This window comes from Homo sapiens, chromosome 10, assembly GCF_000001405.40.
Source record: "Homo sapiens chromosome 10, GRCh38.p14 Primary Assembly".
Lineage (NCBI taxonomy): Eukaryota > Metazoa > Chordata > Mammalia > Primates > Hominidae > Homo > Homo sapiens.
The window spans coordinates 66,370,862-66,391,784 of NC_000010.11; the positions used below are offsets into that span (position 1 = coordinate 66,370,862).

Below are 20,923 nucleotides of genomic sequence, written 5' to 3' on the forward strand. Positions count from 1 at the left end.
ACCATGCCTGGCTAACATTTTTTAATTACTATTTTCTTCTTTTGTAGAGCTGGGTCTCACTATGTTGCCTAGGCTGATCTCGAACACTTGGGTTCAAGCAGTCCTCTCACCTCAGCCTTCCAAAGTGCTGGGATTACAGGTATGAACCACTGCCCAGCCTCAAACAGTATGATCTTAGAAAACACTAGTCTATGCTGTTACAAAGAATGTCTCATACTTAGTAATCTTAAAAATTAGTGAAGTCAAAGTACCCATTCCGTTGGATTTAAAACAAAATATAAAGTTCAATTCAGTATCACTCTACATTTGAACAATACCAGGATACAGATGTGTTAAATTTTGTCATTGTAGTTAAAGAAAGAAGAAACCTCAGTATATCACTGAAGGGTAAACGTTCCCCCTTTTTGAAAACCTGCATAGACTCCTTTATACTTTTACATATACAGCAAAACAAACATTATTTTATGAAGCTAGTGTCTTGGCCATAGAATCATATTCACATCATATATTCTGCTATGGCATGTCTTCCCTGGAATGTACCTCAATTTGGAGTGGTATCATAATACCTTGTTTAATAAATCTACCAGAAATAAAGCAGGCTTTTATGCTTGTTTTAAAGGTTTCATAAACCATCTAAAAGAATTGGCTTTGCAACAAGCTGCTGAAGGGCAATGTTCTTGGTTGCATAATATGGATGCAAGTAGTTCCATTGTCCCAGTGATGTCCAATTAAGTTGGCAGCATCAATCCTCAATTTCCTTTCTCTGGGTCCTTTTGCTTCCTCGTTGATAATCATCCTCTCCTGCTTCTCATCATCCCCAACTTCCCCCTTTGCTAACAGACTTCAAAGCCCTTTATTATGCAGGGAATATGCCAGTGTAAGAGTCTTAGTGTGAGGCAGAGCACTGTCTGCAAAGAAGCTCGAAGGCCAGGTACTCACCCCTATGCATGCTGACAGCCAAGGTGTGGGCACATGATTTAAACTCTACTAAGATAATGCTTCTGGCACTGGAAGTTGAGTTTAAAGCAAGTGAGGCAAAAGCAGGGATATTTTATGATTTATTCCAGTGGTAGAACCATCTGAAATGTGGTAGCGAATAAATGTACCAGCTGTGTGGTCCAGTGTCATAATGTTATGATACTGTTAGTGGCATTAAGTGTTCAGAGGGGGCTGGAATGGTACTTTGAAAAGCTATTCTTTGGGATGACTTTAACTGTGTTCCTATATGAAGTGTCCCTTGCAGTCTGCCAGTTTTTTCTTCTTGTTCTCCAGTCTTCCTGTGTTTTTCTGCCTAATTTAGCCATTCTTAATTTCAGTTCTTTGCAACCCAGAACCAAAACTAATACTTAATACTTCATGTCTAATCTTTTTAAACATAAATTATTTTTCTATTGCCTTCAGCACATAAAGATCCATAGAGTAAATCTGAATTAGTCATTTTACAGAAATACGGGAAAGTAGGATCAGAATGAAAGATGTGACCTCTTTCTCTTTCTAGATGATATCTTGTTTCCCAGGAGAAGATCCATATGAGGCTAGTCACAGGTGTTCTAGAGTTACAGAAGATACAAGACCTCTGGAACACCTTTGCACTGGTGAATAACCACACAGCATGTTCCCATTCTCTGGTTCATCTTCCAATTCTCCCTTCTTTTCAGCCCATGCCAATTCATCTCCACTGTTGTTAACCCATCCTTCATTTAGCAAAAATCTCAAAGTTACTGTATTAGTCTGTTCTCATACTGGTCTCACACTGATATGAAGAAATACCTGAGACTGGCTAATTTATAAAGAAAACAGGTTTAATTTATTCATAGTTCCACATGGCTGGGCAGGCCTCAGGAAACTTACAATCATGGCAGAAGGCACCTCTTCACAGGGAGACAGGAGAGAGAATGAGTGCCCGAAAGGGAAATGCCAGATGCTTATAAAACCATCAGATTTTGTGAGAACTCACTGTCACAAGAACAGCATAGGGGAAACCACCCCCATGATTCAATTACCTCCCACTGGGTCCCTCCCTCAACAAATGAGGATTATGAGAATTACAGTTCAAAATGAGATTTGGGTGGGGACACAGCCAAACCACATCAGTTACATATTTTACATTTTTCAGATATGGCAGTATCTCAACCCCTCTTTATGATTCTTTAATATCCACTCTTAAGCCCTTTATATTATTCCTCATTTAACAATAAAATTTCTATCACTGTGTCAGAATATATTATTTTTTAAAAAATAAGGCTATACCAACAGTGTCACTTTAGATTACTCCATGTACCATGTCAAAAAGGTGAGAAAAGATTTTGCATCACACAATACATATTGAAGATTGCAGTTTTTATAGCATTTTCTTTTTTCTGACAAGTTTGTATGTTCATTTACTTAAAATGGCAAGATAAGAATCTTGCCATTCTTATTTTAGTTCTTTAACTGGATCCTTAGTCTCTTAACTAGATCTGGGTCCTATATAAATCCAGTCTTCCTTGGACAGAAAATAGATTTTTCCACTCAGAAGTTCTAACAGCTACTTTCTTCAACTCATAATGTCACCTAAGGTCCCACACTCCTATGGGAACAGAAGCACTTCCACGGTCATGAGATCTTACTCTTCTTTAGAGAGGCTGAGTTGTAATTTAATTTCCAACTTTAGAATTATCAACACGAAGACACACAGTTATCCAGGTTAGCCAAGTGATCTGCAGACAGAAACCTCTTGTTAATGCTCTCTAATTGTGTTAAAAAAAAAAAAGAGTTATATTAACGTCTAATCCAAAAGGCAGAAAGGATATAATTTGAAAGCCTGTTCAGACTGCTTAAAGGGGAGGAAATTCGCCAACAATGGCTCCCAAATGTGAAAGCACAGTTACTACCCCTTACAGGGATTTGCTGGAAGCATTACCAAAATTAGGTTCAGTCAGATCTTTCAACAGACGTAGTTCAATGATGGTTCTTGTAAGTAATTGAATACACAATATTCATGATCAATTGTTCAAAAGCTTGCTAAAGAACCTTTTAAAAATCTGACCCCAAGTTTTCTGGAAGTGGCTAAGATCTAACTCTGGACAGTAATGAATCACTTTCTTAATCTTTTCTCTGCCCCATCCTTTGACACAGCCCACTGTTTCCAGGGGTTGTTTTCCTCCTGAATTGGGATGACAACCTATTCTCCTGCTTAACTAGACTGTATCACAGTGTAATCTTGCAGTACATTTTAAATTTAAATTTTGGAGAAGGACTTGGTGATCATTGATCATTGGGCCCCTCTGCTATGTGTAGATGCTACCGGGGAAAATAAAAATAAAGAAAGTGTGGTGTCTGTCTTTAAGGACATTACAATCTAGTGGGAGAAACTTGTATGTAAATGGCTGATTATGATCAAAGGCAAAGTGAAATAAACATTAACTAGAGGACAAGCTCATAGTAATACAGATAATGGAGCAATTAATTCTAACTGAAAGGGAATCAAAAGCTCCTTTGCAAAGGTGGTGGCATTTGAGAAAGTGTTTAGAATGATTATATTTTAAGAGGGCAGTAGAGAAGAAAAGGCAATCATTCCAACTGCAGGGATAGAATTAGCAAAGCCTTAGAAGCTCAATTCAAGAGATTTCGTTTTGGGTTTTGATTTTTTTTTCTTTTTAATTCTAACATACGACACAATGGTAGGCCCTGGGAGAGATTCAAAGAAAAATAATATGAGTGTCTTTTTCTCCTGTAGCTCATATTCCATTTTGAAAGAAAAGCCTTTTTTTTTTTTTTTTTTTTTTTTTTGAGACGGAGTCTCGCTCTGTCACCCCTGCTGGAGTGCAGTGGCAGGATCTCAGCTCACTGCAACCTCTGCCTCCTGGGTTCAAGCAATTCTCCTGCCTCAGCCTCCCAAGTAGCTGGGATTACAGGCACATGCTACAACACCCATCTAATTTTTTTGTATTTTTTCTAGAGACGGGGTTTCACCATGTTGGCCAGGCTGGTCTTGAACTCCTGACCTCATGATCCTCCCGCCTTGGCCTCCAAAAGTGCTGGGATTACAGGTGTGAGCCACCACACCCAGACCAGAAAAGCCATTTTTATGACAGTATATCTGAGGAGTTCATCAAGAGCATATACTTGTCTGGGATGATGTAATTGAGTTGGCACGTCCCTTAAGAGCTACAGTGCACGAGAACAGAAAGAATTCATTATTGCCAAAGATTTCTAGAGGACATGAATATAAGCTTTTTCTTGAAATATGCATAGAATTTGATGTGAGAAACAAGGGGTAGAGATATTTAAAAAGAGAGTGATGGCAGTTAATAATCTTGGCATGTCCCCGCCATTGTGGAAGTATTAACTTAAGTGTTGTGGAAGGTGCCTTTTGGCCCACATCAGAAAAAAAAAAAAAAAGTTAGAAATAAAATTTTAGGTGAAATCAAATTCCTCCAGAGTTCAAGAAGGTAAACTGAGTGAAGAAGACTGGGGCTATAATGAGACAGAGTGGAAGAGACTATGGCATGGTAGAGACCATGGCCAAGGCTCAGTGAAAAAGAGGACACCACTAAGCTCCAGCCAATTCCCGTGAAAATTATGTTGGTCAAAACTCCACTGGCCACATAAAAATTCTTTGAGTCATACCTAGTATGTAGACTACTAATTTTCAAACACTGCCGGACTGCAGAGGGTAAGGACTGCTAGAACTAAAACCTTTAGTTTTTATAAATATTTAAGATTGTAGGACAGAGCTGCAATGCCAAAAAAAAAAAGCATGTTTTAATCAAGCTACAAAATGCAAGATATGTATATGTAAACCATATTAAATGAAAGGGAATTGAGAGGGGTTACCAACTGCTATTAAAGTTTTTTCAAACTACGTTTTAAATGAAATACATCTTAAAACTCTATCTGTTGCTTAAACTGGAGTAAACAATTTACAACAAAATTTTAGAAAAATTTATTGGCTCAAAATTTCTTTCAACTGTCTCATTTGCCTTTGAGACAAAAAACATGTAACTATATGGCAATTGTTCATTCTAAGAAGGTGGGAATTCTGGATACACACTTTCCAGTCTCGGCCTCATCAGATACTTGATGAATGAACCTGTATTTGCCATCACTGCCAGTTGCCAACAGTGGATGCCACCAGGATATCTTGGTCAGATTCATTTATGTACCTGTTCTGTTTTGGTCCATGAGCCTGGCAAACAGTAAAACTAGGTGGGGGTTGGAGGTTTGCAACAGCTGCTCTGGGGCCTGCTGATTCCTGAATTTTATAGCGTTCATAAATCACACAAAAATGTCTTATGTCCGTCCACTTCCAGTTTAGGTTTTTCCCCAACGTAGTACAAAAGAACTGAAGTTGACACTAAGAGTATAATTTGTAAGCCTTCACAATACAGTCCAGAAGGTTTATTATTTATTTAAAAAGCTAATATATTCTATATTCTCTATTAAGAATTCCTGACAGGAGGAGGAGCTTAGTAACAGGGATAAATGGGGTGGAATAAAGAATTTCACATGAAGATTACAATATTATGCTTCTATCTGGGTGAAATGTAGCATTCCAGATGTTGACTACATTTCACTAGAGTTTGTGAACAATATAAATTCCTGAGATATAATAGGTCAGCCCTGCTTCTTAATGCTGAGAAAACACTTAGAAGATCATCAAATTTTGAAAATGTACTAATGAGCTACAAAGTCTGATTAAAATCAAAGGTGCTATGTTCTAAAAACCTTCTTTGTGATTTAGATAAGTATGGCTTATATTTCATCATTTATGACAATACTTTAAGGCAAACTTTGCAAAGACGGAAAAGTCTTGGTAATAAACAACAATTCACTATAGCTCCTCATAAAGTCATTTTCAGAAAGCAGGGTTAAATCCTGAAGACTGTATAAAAGAAAAGGAAACACAGAGAAAGACAGTCCACAGATATTACTGTTCACTTGCTAAAAAGTAAACTATTAAGGCCTCATAACACAAAACATGATATTTCCAATTATTTAATTTGGCAATTATTTATAACTAATAAGTCCAAGATGTGAAGCAGACGCAAACAACGATGAACATCTCCTGTTAGTAAATTCTGGAGGATAGAGTAGTGGGAAGTATCTTTCATAGACAATGTCTCCATGGGAAAGAAAATTTTCACATTTTTCAGCTTTGGTTAAGATCAAACTGATCTAATTAGTTTTCTCATCTAATTTATTGCTCAGAATTCCTTTTAGTAAGGCATGCTTTTCATAAATTTCAAAGAAGGCTATTTGGAGAATAGTTTGGAATTAGACATAAACAAAAATGGAAAGCTTTTTCAAAGATACACCAAAATTTTTCTGAGTAACTAAAATAACAAAATTGGGACATCATAAACTATACCGTTACGCTAATAATAAGATGCTGTTTATACATAATAACCCAGGATTATTTTATATTCATTATATTTGGGATATAGGACATAATTTATCTAGAGAATTTTAATTAAAATTATATACAACTAATTAGAAGAAAACAGATTTTTTTCTCTTCTGAATGTGATAATGTAGCCATATGGATTAGCTATCTAGAAAGGTTATTATAAATCAAAGAGGTATTAATAAACTTGCAATTAAGTGTTTAAATAACTTTGTTTCATTATTTTCTGATCTCAGAGTGATTGCAAACAGTGGCATAAAACTGTAAACCTGGTACCTCAAACAGAATTATGATCATAAAGTATGCTCACAAGACTAACACGATTATAAAACTGAGACAGAGGCAAAATATTAGTCCTCCTAGATTTTACCTAACCAATTCCTGATAGGAAATTTTTATTTGTCTAAAAAAAAAACCCCTGTTACATTCTTCTTTTACTTACATTCTATTCTCAGAAGGTAGAAAAAAATCAGGGACACAGAAAACTCTGTATGTGGTTTTGACCAACATGAAAGGAGTGCTTAAATTTAGTTAGGGAAGAGATACTGAATGACCAGAGCACAATCATCTTTTTAAACAAGTAAATATATTGCCATAACTTATTGAAAAAGTAACTACTATGTGCCCTATTGATACCGGTGACTTTGAGGAGTGGATATAGCAATATAAATTTAATAATATCAAGAGTTTTATCTTTCCTTACCACATTGTTAGCATTGCATTATTTTAGAAATATTTCAAAGAGATAGTAAGAAAATTACATACCAAGATTCATCAATGATTTTGTTTATCAACTTGCTAGAAAAACAGCAAAACTGATCATCAATTCCCTGCAAACCTTGCTAAGCTTGCCTTGCAGCATAGCACTTCAGACCTAGTCTCTAGTGAATATTATTCAACTGTTGGTTTGTTTCTCTTAATTCATTTCAAGGAGTGGCTTCAAATATAAAAGAAAAATTAAAAAAATGACTCATCTTTGTCCCTTCTACTCTTTTGGCTAAACAATGTGCATATCAAATTTCATATTCCATATGCATAACATGAAAAATGATTCTCCAGGATCGATGACTTAAGGTTGGAATTTCAAATATTTTAGGAATCACAGATGCACCATCACCCTAGTGTGAGGAGGCAATAGTAAAAATTCTAACCTGAGGATTTCACAAATTCACAAAGGGTTTTCCCAGGAAGGAGTTCTGCTATCATGACTTATAAAAATAGTTGATTGTCCTCATTGTTTTTGAATCCATATGAATTCAGACACTTCTGTAAGTTTCTTGGAGAAAGGTTAACAATAGTGTTAAAATGCCATTTCACTGAGGGATTCAAGAACTAAGCATTTGCTGGCTGGTTTTTCGAAAATACTAACCTGAGTGCTGCAATCAACACAAAAGAGTGGTTCCACATTTCTTATGCAATCAAAGAAGATTATGTGCAAGAACAAATTGCTGTTTTGCAAACAGACTGCAGATGAAGGTAAGAGCATTTCTCTGGAAACGTAGGACAGACTTGCTGTGTTTAAGTAATGTAAACAAAAACTTAGGGATATCAATGATACAGTTAACAGAGGGTTTGGTGACTATCACATACTTGATACCATATCAGCCTAATTATATCTCCTAATAGATAAGGCATTAATGAACATTCTAAGTGGTTTCTGACTAAGGCCTGTGGGTAATTTATATAACGCATATATTTATAGAAGACCTCTTTTTACCAATGAATATATTTACTTCTCAGTGATAAATTTCAAATCGCATAACCAAAGTGTGCAAGCACTGTATAGCAATGTATGTCAAAAGAAGCAACACAGACTAGAATCTTTCCCACATGTATGAATATTCGTAGCTATGTAGATTCAAATAAGAGAAATTGTGCAGCTGTTATTGGCAACTGACTTACCAGTACTTGTAAGGAAGTTAACATTTCTCATTACACCTTCCGTGTAAGCCCCTGGCTCGTAACTGTCCATTTCACCCGTGACGATGTGAGCAACTCTTGCTGCCCGGCCTCTGATAGCACCCGCAGCACGGTCTAAATTATCAGCATCCTGGTCTCTTAAGGCTATGATACACTTGTTGACATCTTCCAAGATATGGCTTTCTGTAAGTAAATGAATCAAATTAGTTTTTGCGTGTGTCTGTGTTTAAAATCATACAAATCTAGCATATTATAATTATGTTAACTTCTGACTTCAGATAGAGTGCACATTGGAAATGGAAGACTTTGAGAATTATAAAAAAATTGGAGACATATTTTGCTTACATCCCTTTATTCTTTAATAGCAAAATCCATGAAATATAACATGTTACATTTTTAAGAGAAATTTGTATTGACTGCATATTATTTTAGATTCTAGTTCCAGTAGATTAGATTTTAGACTGACATAGAGGTGGAAATTAAAGACAGTTTCTAGATTAAAATGAAAACAAAATATGTGATGATGAAATTCTACATCGTGAATGAAAGCAATATTATACAGATTATAAAACTTATATATACATAAGTCTTTTAAAAGATGGATTTAAACAAATGAATTCCAGAGAAAGTTGCCTACTCTGAAGAGTGTCTCCTGACCTCATCCTCTCCATTCTTTAGATGACTAGGCCATGAAGATAGCAGGAAGTTACTATAGCACAGTAATATTTTCTTTCTTCATAAAATGATTAATACTCCCAGCTAAAACTAATGAATGAAGATGCACAAATATGTGGAATATCAACAAACATGGTCAATGATATTTCTAACAAATTGAAAGAATATTAAAAGAATTAGTGTTCTGGCTTCTGGCTTTATCACATGAATCCCCACTTAATATCTTTAACGACTATTTCTTTAAAACACACACAGAAAACAATTATAACAATAAGATCTCAGTAATTCCAGAACATATCATTAATTCTCTTTCTCTCTTTTTTTGTCCCTCTCACTCTCTCTGTCTGTGTCTCTCTGTCTTTCTCTTTCCCAATCTGCTTGTGTATATGTGCTGACTATGTGTGTGTTTGCTACAAAGGACAATTATTCTTCAGTTTTCTTTCAGAGTCACACTTCCCTCTTGTCGTCCAAAAAATAAAATCAGTCTGGGTGTGGTGGCTCACATCTATAATCCTAGTACTTTGGGAGACCTAGGAAGGAGGATGACTTGGGGCCAGAAGTTCAAGACCAGCCTGGAAAACACAGCAAGACCCTTTCTTTACAACAAAATAAATTTAGCCAGGAGTAGCAGCATGTTGCTGTAGTCCTAGTTACTTGGGAGGCTGAGGTGGGAGGATTGATTGAGCCCAGGAGTTTGAGGCTACAGTGAGCTTTGATCATGCCACTACACTCCAGCCTGGGTAATAGAGTGAGGCCCTATCTATCTATCTATCTATCTATCTATATATATATATATATTAAATTAATTATATATAGTTAAAATTTAAATGTATTTATAAACATAACATTATTTAATCATATATGTATTCATATATTTCATAATGATATGTTCCGGAATTACTGAGATCTTACTGTTATAATTGTTTTCTGTGTGTGTTTTAAAGAAATAGTCATTAAAGATATTAAGTGGGGATTCATGTGATAAAGCCAGAAGCCAAAACACTAAATATATCCTAAATATATACGCACCCAATACAGGAGCACCCAGATTCATAAAGCAAGTCCTTAGAGACCTACAAAGAGACTTAGACTCCCACACAATAATAATGGGAGACTTTAACACCCCACTGTCAATATTAGACAGATCAATGAGACAGAAGGTTAACAAGGATATCCAGGACCTGAACTCAGCTCTGCAACAAGCAGACCTAAGAGACATAATTTTTGAAAAAAGAAAATAAAGTCAAACTACCATTGAATATGGTCCCTGTTAACCTTCTGAGATCTGGCTTCTATTATTCTGTTATACATATTTTATGATTTCCAAAATCCTTCATGATCTTCCATGCCTCTGTCCTGTGGGCATATTAGAACCTTGGCCTGAACAGTCTGTCCCCTTTGACCTGCTTGCTCAACTCCTACTATTCTTTCAAGCCACTAGGCAAATGTTCCTGCCTCAGGAAATGCATGCTGACCTCCTCATTCTCTACAACAAAACCAACTTTGTTCCATGTTGTTTAGGATTCACATAAAATGGTTTATGTGCCTCAATTAGAGATTCTACCTGTGTTTTAATTATTTACTTTTAAAAATATCTCTCTAGTAGAATTTGAAATATATCTGAGGGAAAGAATTTTATCTTATTCCTCGAGGTATTCTAAGTAGTACTTGTTATAATACTTGGCACTTGTTAGGCTAACAAGAATGCTTGTTGAATGAATGAATGAATGAATGAATGAAGCTCTCTTATAAGACATTCTTAAATCATGGGCTATGAACCTAAGTGAACACATATCTGTTATCTGAAATTAGATAAATTTAACCCATATTAAGGACATTTAAAGTCACTTATATTAAAAATATTAAACACTGAAAACCTTCATTATAAATTAACTAGGGCTTTAACCTAATTTGCAGCATTCAGTTATGAATGTATCATTAAGCCCTACAGTAAATACAGTCATGGTCCAATCTCAACAGAAAGCATATGTATATTATCATATTTCCCCTGGAACAGAAGTATAGGTTGGACCTTAGAAGGTATAGTAATCATCAATTTTTAAGAAGTCCACAGATGTACACTTTAATGACACATTAAGAAGCTACCATTTTCACCTAACCAAGATGGCCAAATAGGAGCAGCTCCGGTCTGCAGCTCCCAGTGTGATTGATGCAGAAGATGGATGATTTCTGCATTTCCAACTGAAGTACCTGGTTCATCTCACTGGGACTGGTTGGACAGTGGGTGCAGCTCACAAGGGGTGAGCTGAAGCAGGACAGGGTGTTGCCTCACCCGGGAAGCACAAGGGGTCAGCGGATTTCCCTTTCCTAGCCAAGGGAAGCCATGACAGACTACCTGGAAAAACAGGGCACTCCCTGCCCAAATACTGCGCTTTTCCCAAGGTTTTAGCAACCAGCAGAAAAGGTGATTCTCTCCCATGCCTGGCTCAGTGGGTCCCATGCCCATGGAGCCTTGCTCACTGCTAGTGCAGCAGTCTGAGATCGATCTGCGAGGCGGCAGCCTGGCTGGGGAAGGGGAATCTGCCATTGCTGAGGCTTCAGTAGATAAATACAGTGGCCAGGAAGCTCGAACTAGGTGGAGCCCACCGAGCTCAACAAGGCCTACTGCCTCTAGACTCCATCTCTTGGGCAGGGCACAGCTGAACAAAAGGCAGAAGACAACTTTGGCAGGCATAAACGACTCTGTCAGACAGCTATGAAGAGAGCAGTGGTTCTCGTTCTCCCAGCATGGTGGTTGAGCTCTGAGAATGGACAGACTGCCTCCTTAAGTGGGTCCCTGACCTCTGTGTAGCCTAACTGGGAGACACCTCCCAGTAGAGGCCAACAGACACCTCATATAGGCGGCTGCCCCTCTGGGATGAAGCTTCCAGAGGAAGGATCAGGCAGCAATATTTGCTGTTCTGCAGCCTCTGCTGGTGATACCCAGGCAAACAGGGTCTGTAGTAGAACTCCAGCAAACTCCAACAGACCTGCAGCTGAGGGACCTGATAGAAGGAAAACTAACAAACAGAAAGGAGTAGCATCAACATCAACATCAACAAAAAGATCATCTACACCAAAACGCCATCTGTAGGTCACCAACATCAAAGACCAAAGGTAGATAAAACCACAAAGATGGGAAGAAACCAGAGCAGAAAAGATGGAAATTCTAAAAATCAGAGCACCTCTTCTCCTCCAAAGGATCGCAACTCCTCACCAGCAATGGAACAAAGCTGGATGGAAAATGACTTTGATGAGTTGACAGAAGTAGGCTTCAGAAGTGTGGTAATAACAGACTTCTCTGAGCTAAAGGAGGATGTTTGAACCCATTGCAAGGAAGCTAAAAACCTTGAAAAAAGATTAGATGAATGGCTAACTAGAATAAACAGTGTAGAGAAGATCTTCAATGACCTGATGGAGCTGAAAACCATGGCACAAGAACTTCATGACACATGCACAAGCTTCAATAGCAGATTCGATCAAGTGGAAGAAAGGGTATCAGTGATTGAAGATCAAATTAATGAAATAAAGTGAGAAGACAAGGTTAGACAAAAAAGAGTAAGAAGAAATGAACAAAGCCTCCAAGAAATATGGGACTATGTGAAAAGACCAAATCTATGTTTGATTGGTGCACCTGAAAGTGATGGGAAGAATGGAACCCAGTTGGAAAACACTCTGCAGGATATTATTCAGGAGAACTTCCCCAACCTAGCAAGGCAGGCCAACATTCAAATTCAGGAAATACAGAGAACACCACAAAGATACTCCTTGACAAGAGCAACCCCAAGACACATGATTGTCAGATTCACCAAGGTTGAAATTAAGGGAAAAGTGTTAACGGCAGCCAGAGAGAAAGGTTGAGTTACCCACAAAGGGAAGCCCATCAGACTAACAGCAGATCTCTTGGCAGAAACCCTACAAGCCAGAAGAGAGTAGGGGCCAATATTCAACATTCTTAAAGAAAGGAATTTTCAACCCAGAATTTCATATCCAGCCAAACTAAGCTTCATAAGTGAAGGAGAAATAAAACCCTGTACAGACAAGCAAATGCTGAGAGATTTTGTCACCATCAGGCCTGCCTTACAAGAGCTCCTGAAGGAAGCATGAAACATGGAAAGAAACAACTGGTACCAGCCACTGCAAAAACATGCCAAATTGTAAAGACCATCGATGCTATGAAGAAACTGCATCAACTAACAGGCAAAATAGCCAGCGAACATCATAATGACAGGATCAAATTCACACATAATAATACTAACCTTAAGTGCAAATGGGCTAAATACCCCAATTAAAAGACACAGAGTGGCATGTTGGATAAAGAGTCAAAACCCGTAAGTGTGCTGTATTCAGGAGACCCACCTCATGTGCAAAGATGCATATAGGCTCAAAATAAAGGGAGGGAGGAAGATCTACCAAGCAAATGGAAAACAAAAAAAAGCAGGGGTTGCAATCCTAGTCTCTGATAAAACACACTTTAAACCAACAAAGATCAAAAGAGATAAAGAAGGCCATTACATAATGGTAAAGGGATCAATTCAACAAGAAGAGCTAACTATCATATATGCACCCAACACAGGAGCACCCAGATTCATAAAGCAAGTCCTTAGAGACATACAAAAAGACTTAGACTCTCATACAATAATAATGGGAGACTTTAACACCCCACTGTCAATATTACACAGATCAATGAGACAGAAGTTTAACAAGGATATCCAGGACCTGAACTCAGCTCTGCAACAGGCAGACCTAATAGACATCTACAGAACTCTCCATCCCAAATCAACAGAATATACATTATTTTCATCACCACATCGCATTTATTCTAAAATTGACCACATAATGGGAAGTAAAGTACTCCTTAGCAAATCTAAACGAAAAGAAATCACAACAAACTGTCTCTCAGACCACAGTGCCATCAAATTAGAACTCAGGATTAAGAAACTTACTCCAAACAACACAACTACATGGAAAATGAACAACCTGCTCCTGAATGACTACTGGGTACATAACGAAATGAAGGAAGAAAAAAAGATGTTATTTGAAACCAATGAGAACAAAGACACAACATACCAGAATCTCTGGGACACATTTAAAGCAGTGTGTAGAGGGAAATTTTTAGCACTAAATGCCCACAAGAGAAAGCAGGAAAGATCTAAAATTGACACCCTAACATCACAATTAAAAGAACTAGAGAAGCAAGAGCAAACACATTCAAAACCTAGCAGAAGGCAAGAAATAACTAAGATCAGAGCAGACCTGAAAGAGATAGAGACACAAAAACCCTTCAAAAAATCAATGAATCCAGGAGCTGGTTTTTTGAAAAGATCAACAAAACTGATAGACTGCTAGCAAGACTAATAAAGAAGAAAAGAGAGAAGAATCAAATGAACGCAATAAAAATTGATAAAGGGGATATCACCACCGATCCCACAGAAATACAAACTACCATCAGAGAATACTATAAACACCTCTACGCAAATAAACTAGAAAATCTAGAAGAAATGGATAAATTCCTCGACACATATAACCTCCCAAGACTAAACCAGGAAGAAGTTGAATCTCTGAATAGATCAATAACAGGCTCTGAAATTGAGGCAAAAATTAATAGGCTACTAACCAAAAAAAGTCCAGGACCAGAAGGATTCACAGCCAAATTCTACCAGAGATACAAAGAGGAGCTGGTACCATTCCTTCTGAAACTATTCCAATCAACAGAAAAAAAGGGATTCCTCCCTAACTCATTTTATGAGGCCAGCATCATCCTGATACCAAAGCCTGGCAGAGACACAACAAAAAAAGAGAATTTTAGATCAATATCCCTGATGAAGATTGATGTGAAAATCCTTAGTAAAAAACTGGCAAACTGAATCCAGCAGCACATCAAAAAGCTCATCCACCATGATCAAGTAGGCTTCATCCCTGGGATGCAAGGCCGGTTCAACATATGCAAATCAGTAAACATAATCCATCACATAAACAAAATCAACAACAAAAAACACATGATTATCTCAATAGATGCAGAAAAGGCCTTTGACAAAATTCAACAGTGCTTCATGCTAAAAACTCTCAATAAACTAGGTATTGATGGGACATATCTCACAATAATAAGAGCTATTTATGACAAACCCACAGCCCCCAATATCATACTGAATGGGCAAAAACTGGAAGCATTCCCTTTGGAAACTGGCACAAGACAAGGACGCCCTCACTCACCACTCCTACTCAACATAGTGTTGGAAGTTCTGGCCAGGGCAATCAGGCAAGAGAAAGAAATAAAGGGTATTCAGTTAGGAAATGAGGAACTCAAATTGTCTGTGTTTGCATATGAGATGATTGTACTTTTAGAAAACCCCATCATATCAGCCCAAAATATCCTTAAGCTGATAAGCAACTTCAGCAAAGTCTCAGGATACAAAATCAATGTGCAAAAATCACAAGCATTCCTATACACCATTAACAGACAAACAAAGAGCCAAATCATGAGTGAACTCCCATTCACAATTGCTTCAAAGAGAATAAAATACCTAGGAATCCAACTTACAAGGGAAGTGAAGGACCACTTCAAGGAGAGCTACAAACCACTGCTCAATGAAATAAAAGAGGACACAAATAATTGGAAGAACATTCCATGCTCATGGATAGGAAGAATCAATATCGTGAAAATGGCCATACTGCCCAAGGTAATTTATAGATTCAATGCCACCCCCATCAAGCTACCAATGACTTTCTTCACAGAATTGGAGAAACACTACTTTAAAGTTCATATGGAACCAAAAAAGAGCCCACATTGCCAAGACAATCCTAAGCAAAAATAACAAAGCTGGAGGCATCATGCTACTTGACTTCAAACTATACTACAAGGCTACAGTAACCAAAACAGCATGATACTGGTACCAAAACAGATATATAGACCAATGGAACAGAACAGAGGCTCAGAAATAATGCCACATATCTACAACCATCTGATCTTTGACAAACCTGACAAAAACAAGAAATGAGGAAAGGATTCCTTATTTAATAAATGGTGCTGGGAAAACTGGCTAGCCATATGTAGAAAGCTAACACTGGATCCCTTCCTTACACCTTGTACAAAAATTAATTCAAGATGGATTAAAGACTTAAATGTTAGACCTAAAACCATAAAAACCCTAGAAGAAAACCTAGGCAATACCATTCAGGACACAGGCATAGGCAAGGACTTCATGACTAAAACACCAAACACAATGGCAACAAAAGTCAAAATAGACAAATGGGATCTAATTAAACTGAAGAGCTTCTGCACAGCAAAAGAAACTACCATCGGCGTGAACAGGCAACCTACAGAATGGGAGAAAATTTTTGCAATCTACCTATCTGACAAAGGGCTAATATCCAGAATCTACAAAGAACTCAAACCAATTTACTAGAAAAAAAAACAAGTCCATCAAAAAGTGGGCAAAGGATATGAACAGACACTTCTCAAAAGAAGACATCTATGCAGTCAACAGACACATGAAAAAATGCTCGTCATTACTGGTCATCAGAGAACTGCAAATCAAAATCACAATGAGATACCATCTCATGCCAGTTAGAATGGCAGTCATTAAAAAGCCAGGAAACAACAGATGCTGGACAGGATGTGGAGAAACAGGAACACTTTTACACTGTTGGTGGGTGTGTAAATTGGTTCAACCATTGTGGAAGATATTGTGGCGATTCCTCAAGGATCTAGAACTAGAATTACCATTTGACCCAGCAATCCCATTACTGGGTATATATACAAAGGATTATAAATCATGCTACAATAAAGACACATGCACACGTATGTTTATTGCTGCACTATTCACAATAGCAAAGACTTGGAACCAACCTCAATGTCCAGCAATGATAGACTGGATTAAGAAAATGTGGCACATATACACCATGGAATACTATGCAGCCATAAAACAGGATGAGTTCATGTCCTTTTCAGGGACATGGATGAAGCTGGAAACCATCATTCTGAGCAAACTATCACAAGGACAGAAAACCAAACACCGCATATTCTCACTCATTGGTGGGAACTGAACAATGAGATCACCTGGACACAGGGTGGGGAACATCACACACTGGGGCCTGTCAGGGGATGGAGGGCTGGGGGAGGGATAACATTAGGAGAAACACCTAATGTAAATTATGAGTTGATGGGTGCAGCAAACCAACATGGCACATGTATACCTATGTATCAAACCTACATGTTGTGCACATGTACCCTAGAAATTAAAGTATAGTAGTAAAAGAAAGAAGAAGCTACTATTTTCAAGTATATTGGCAAGGTTTCTTTTTTTAAAAACAAATGCAACATATATGTATTCAACGAATGTTTACTCTGTATTCACTAAGGTGTTCAATTTTATATTGTAGAGCTATTTTCTTAGTCCTATAAAAGTGAAAGAATATTTACAGTAAAAACAATGTCTGTTCTTGGAAGATTAATAATATATAATACACTATGTAATTTCTCTTTAATTAAAGATGAAATGATAGCTTGTACAAACTATTTTTTCCCCAGTGAATTTTGCAGAGGAGAAAATATACAAAGAATATTCACTAACAATGAATGAGTAGTCACCTCTTCTGTAGAAGTATGATCTATATGCCCATGAATTTATTATTTAAAGCAGTGAATAAAAATATAGCAAGAATTTTTCTGGTTCTTTTTTTGTTTGGCTTTGCAGAAGGTTGTGTGATTACTGCTCACAATTAAATAATCCTGTCTGAGGCCATAGTGTTAAATCTTGTTGAAGAATTATAGATGTAAGGTCAGATATGGAAATAAAAGTCTTATATAAACATATGATATGAAAAAATTATAAATAAAATAACGAAAAGAAGCTATAACCAGACTTAACCCAAAGCAGCTATAGTAAGAATATTAGAGAAGATGTGTAAATGATCTTTGAAATTACTAAGATTAAATATAGCACAAAATAATTAGAAAAGGTTCACAAAGTTTGTATTACTGTGACACGTTCCCATTACCCTGAATGCTTTACAGAATGCTAGGAACAACTATTTGCATGAAGCTCTAAACATAGAATGCCCGAAAAAGAAAATCAAAATGTTAGGTACCTCCCACATATGCACAATAACTAAACATTAAGCAACTTCTTAAAAATGATTATTTCTCTGCTATTTATATTTCTGGTGAATTTAAGTGGCTAAAAGAACTTCATGAAGGCTTGAGCTTTTATGCCTAGCTACACAGCCTTTAAACTTTTAGGAAAGAAAAAAAATGCCAAATACCTTGTATACAACTTCCTACTGTTGAATCTCTTTAGACTTTGCTTCTGATGGAATGGGTTTACTCTTTAAACACAGCAAAAGTCATTTGGTTCTCTCCTCAAAAATTTTTTTTTTCTGAAGTAGATGCACTTGAACTCAACAAATGCATCATTTTTAAAATGAGGTTAAAAGAAAGAGAATATGTTATTATAGAACAAGCACATTTAGAATATTATGTTTTGAAGGATTGTCACATAGTGAAGATTTTTCTTAACAGCTTCAGAGTATCAGCTTAACATTTGCTCTGAGGTGAGGGGTGGAATGTCCTGGTGTTAGCGTAAATGCTGAAATGCATTCATTTAAGAGCAGACAATTGGTGAATTATTAGCAATTTCTATCAATCATTTTTATAGCCATCTTGAGATGCAAAGGGTGATTTCTATTTTGTTGGAAAATAGTAATACATGGGATAATAAAGGAATTGATGTTTTACTAAAAGATACTTTGTTTGGTGCAAGCTTCTCTGGCTAACTCCATCTTCAGTCACCACAGGAAGTGTAGCACAATAAAATTTTGAAATGCATTTTTAAAATTATAATTTTTTCTAGTTGTTCAGTTTCATTCATATATATATATGGAGAGAGAGAGAGAGAGAGAGAGAGAGAGAGAGAGATAAGGTCTCCTTCTATCACCCAGGATGGGGTACAGTGCCATAATCATAGCTCATTGCAACCTCAAACTCTTGGGCCCAAGTGATCATTCCACCTCAGGCTCCCAAGTAGCTAGAACTGCAGGAACTCACCGCCATGCCTGGCTGTTTTAATTTTTTATAGAGACAGGGTCTTGCTACGTTGCTCAGGCTGATATCGACCTCCTCGCCTCAAGCGATTCTCCTACCTCAGATTCCCAAAGTGTTGAGATTACTGGAGTGAGCCCCTGCACCTGGCCAGTTTTCAACAGTTAAAGCCAGAATTTAAAGGTCAAATCTATTGCCCCAGGGAAAGTAGAAAACAAACAAAATTCAGTGAAAACAAAATGTTAAATCACTGGCTTTCTACAGCCAAAGTAGAATTTTATAAATCTATAGTCCAGAGAACAGACTGAAAGTAGCAGCACATTTTGTTTGCAAAAGCTAGATTGGTTCAGAGGTAAAAGTTTCTCCTTTTAATTCCTGAAGTGGGACTTTGAATACATCAACAGCAAAGCCTTAAGGGGAAGAGAGTTTATGCTATAATCCATCAAGCAAGAAATGATACACTATCAACAGTTTCCTCCCCTGATATCTACATACACAAGAAAAAGATTCAGAGAAGGGAAGAAGAGAGAAAAAGATATTAACTAGTTTTTCTGGAGAAACTGAGTTATAATGCAAAATCGATTGAATTTTCTAAATTGTCAAGATTAATTCTAGCTACCCAGTGTATATGAGCTAAGAGACTTAAGCTAAATTTAATTATAAAAAAAAGTTTCCATTTTTGCATACCTGGCTCCATAGCTATAAATTAAAAACACATTACATAGGCAACTACATAAATGTTCAACAAATAAAAACAAGAATACAGTAATTTTTCTTTCCCATTTACCCAACATACATGAAACTAAAAAGCAAATAGAATGCATTAGTGTGTGAGTTAATTGTTGCTTATCTATGTACTTACAGAATTTGTTTGTCAGGAGTTTGACTATGATGATTGGTTTCCAAATTAAATAATATCCCACAGAAAGATCTAAGCAAAAACTAGCTTGAGAATACAGAGTATGCATACAGTTAAATGTAAAATGTAAAGTCCCTTCTTCCTCTTTACCTCCTAAATCCTTTCTTCTGTCTCTTCTTTCCAAAGTCTTAATATATGTTAGAAAATGTAGACGATATAAAAGATAAAGTACAGTCCCTGTCTGCAAAGGATTCACAATCTAGTAACCAGAAAATAAAGCACTTTGTATTTTATTGTCTTTTATTCCGCCCAATACAATAGTCAAAATTGTAGTCACTTGGTAATTTTACAAAAGTTTTGTTAAACTTTAACAAAATTTGCCCAGTTTCTTTGCACTGAAAGCTGCTTATTCTTTCGCTTTTAGACAGCTCGAATTTAGTTGACTTACTTTTGAAAATTATTGAAAGAAAAATAAAGTCCAATATTGCTATTTACAAGCCAATTATCAACAATACTTATACAAACTCTGCAGCACTTATTCACACACAATTCTATAGAAGAACACACACACACGAAAAAAAAGAAAGTCATTGAAGGCTTCATATTTCTCTCAATATGTCTTAAGTAGGCTCTTGTAACAACTTGTGTAGTTGTTAAGAAATTTATCAAAGCTTGGAAACAGAAAAAATGGACTATTGCTTGTCCTTTTAATGTCCTGTTGAACAGACATTGCAATCAGGCCCACCTGGCAAATATCTAATTCTCAAGGAGTGTGTATCTTTGTTCCACTTGCTATTAGTGTCGATCAGGATATTTTAAAACTCTGTAAGAGTTAATGCTCTTTAAAAAAAAATTTGATGACCATGTAAATGATTCTTGTTACAAAAAGTGTTATTTTTGTAGAAAAGATAATCCTAAAGGCTATAGCTTCATTGCTCTGTAGGACATTAACCAGTTTTGTTTCTAAATGAGAAATTTTATTGAACCATTCTTTATCTAAATTTTTTAAACAAGGCTTATCATTTTAGCGCCTCTCAAAAAT

The 20,923-nt window shown here is 36.6% G+C and overlaps 1 protein-coding gene across 8 annotated transcripts in view; it reads right to left on the minus strand.

Annotated features, from left to right (window-relative positions):
• CTNNA3 (catenin alpha 3) overlaps window positions 1-20,923 on the minus strand; it is a 1,851,072-nt gene that overhangs the window by 458,339 nt on the left and 1,371,810 nt on the right. For all 8 annotated transcript variants that reach the window (XM_047425124.1, NM_013266.4, XM_017016152.2 and 5 more), the window contains one exon: window positions 8,291-8,491. In XM_047425124.1, the coding sequence (XP_047281080.1) occupies window positions 8,291-8,491 (201 nt within the window). The remainder of the gene's footprint in view (window positions 1-8,290; window positions 8,492-20,923) is intronic.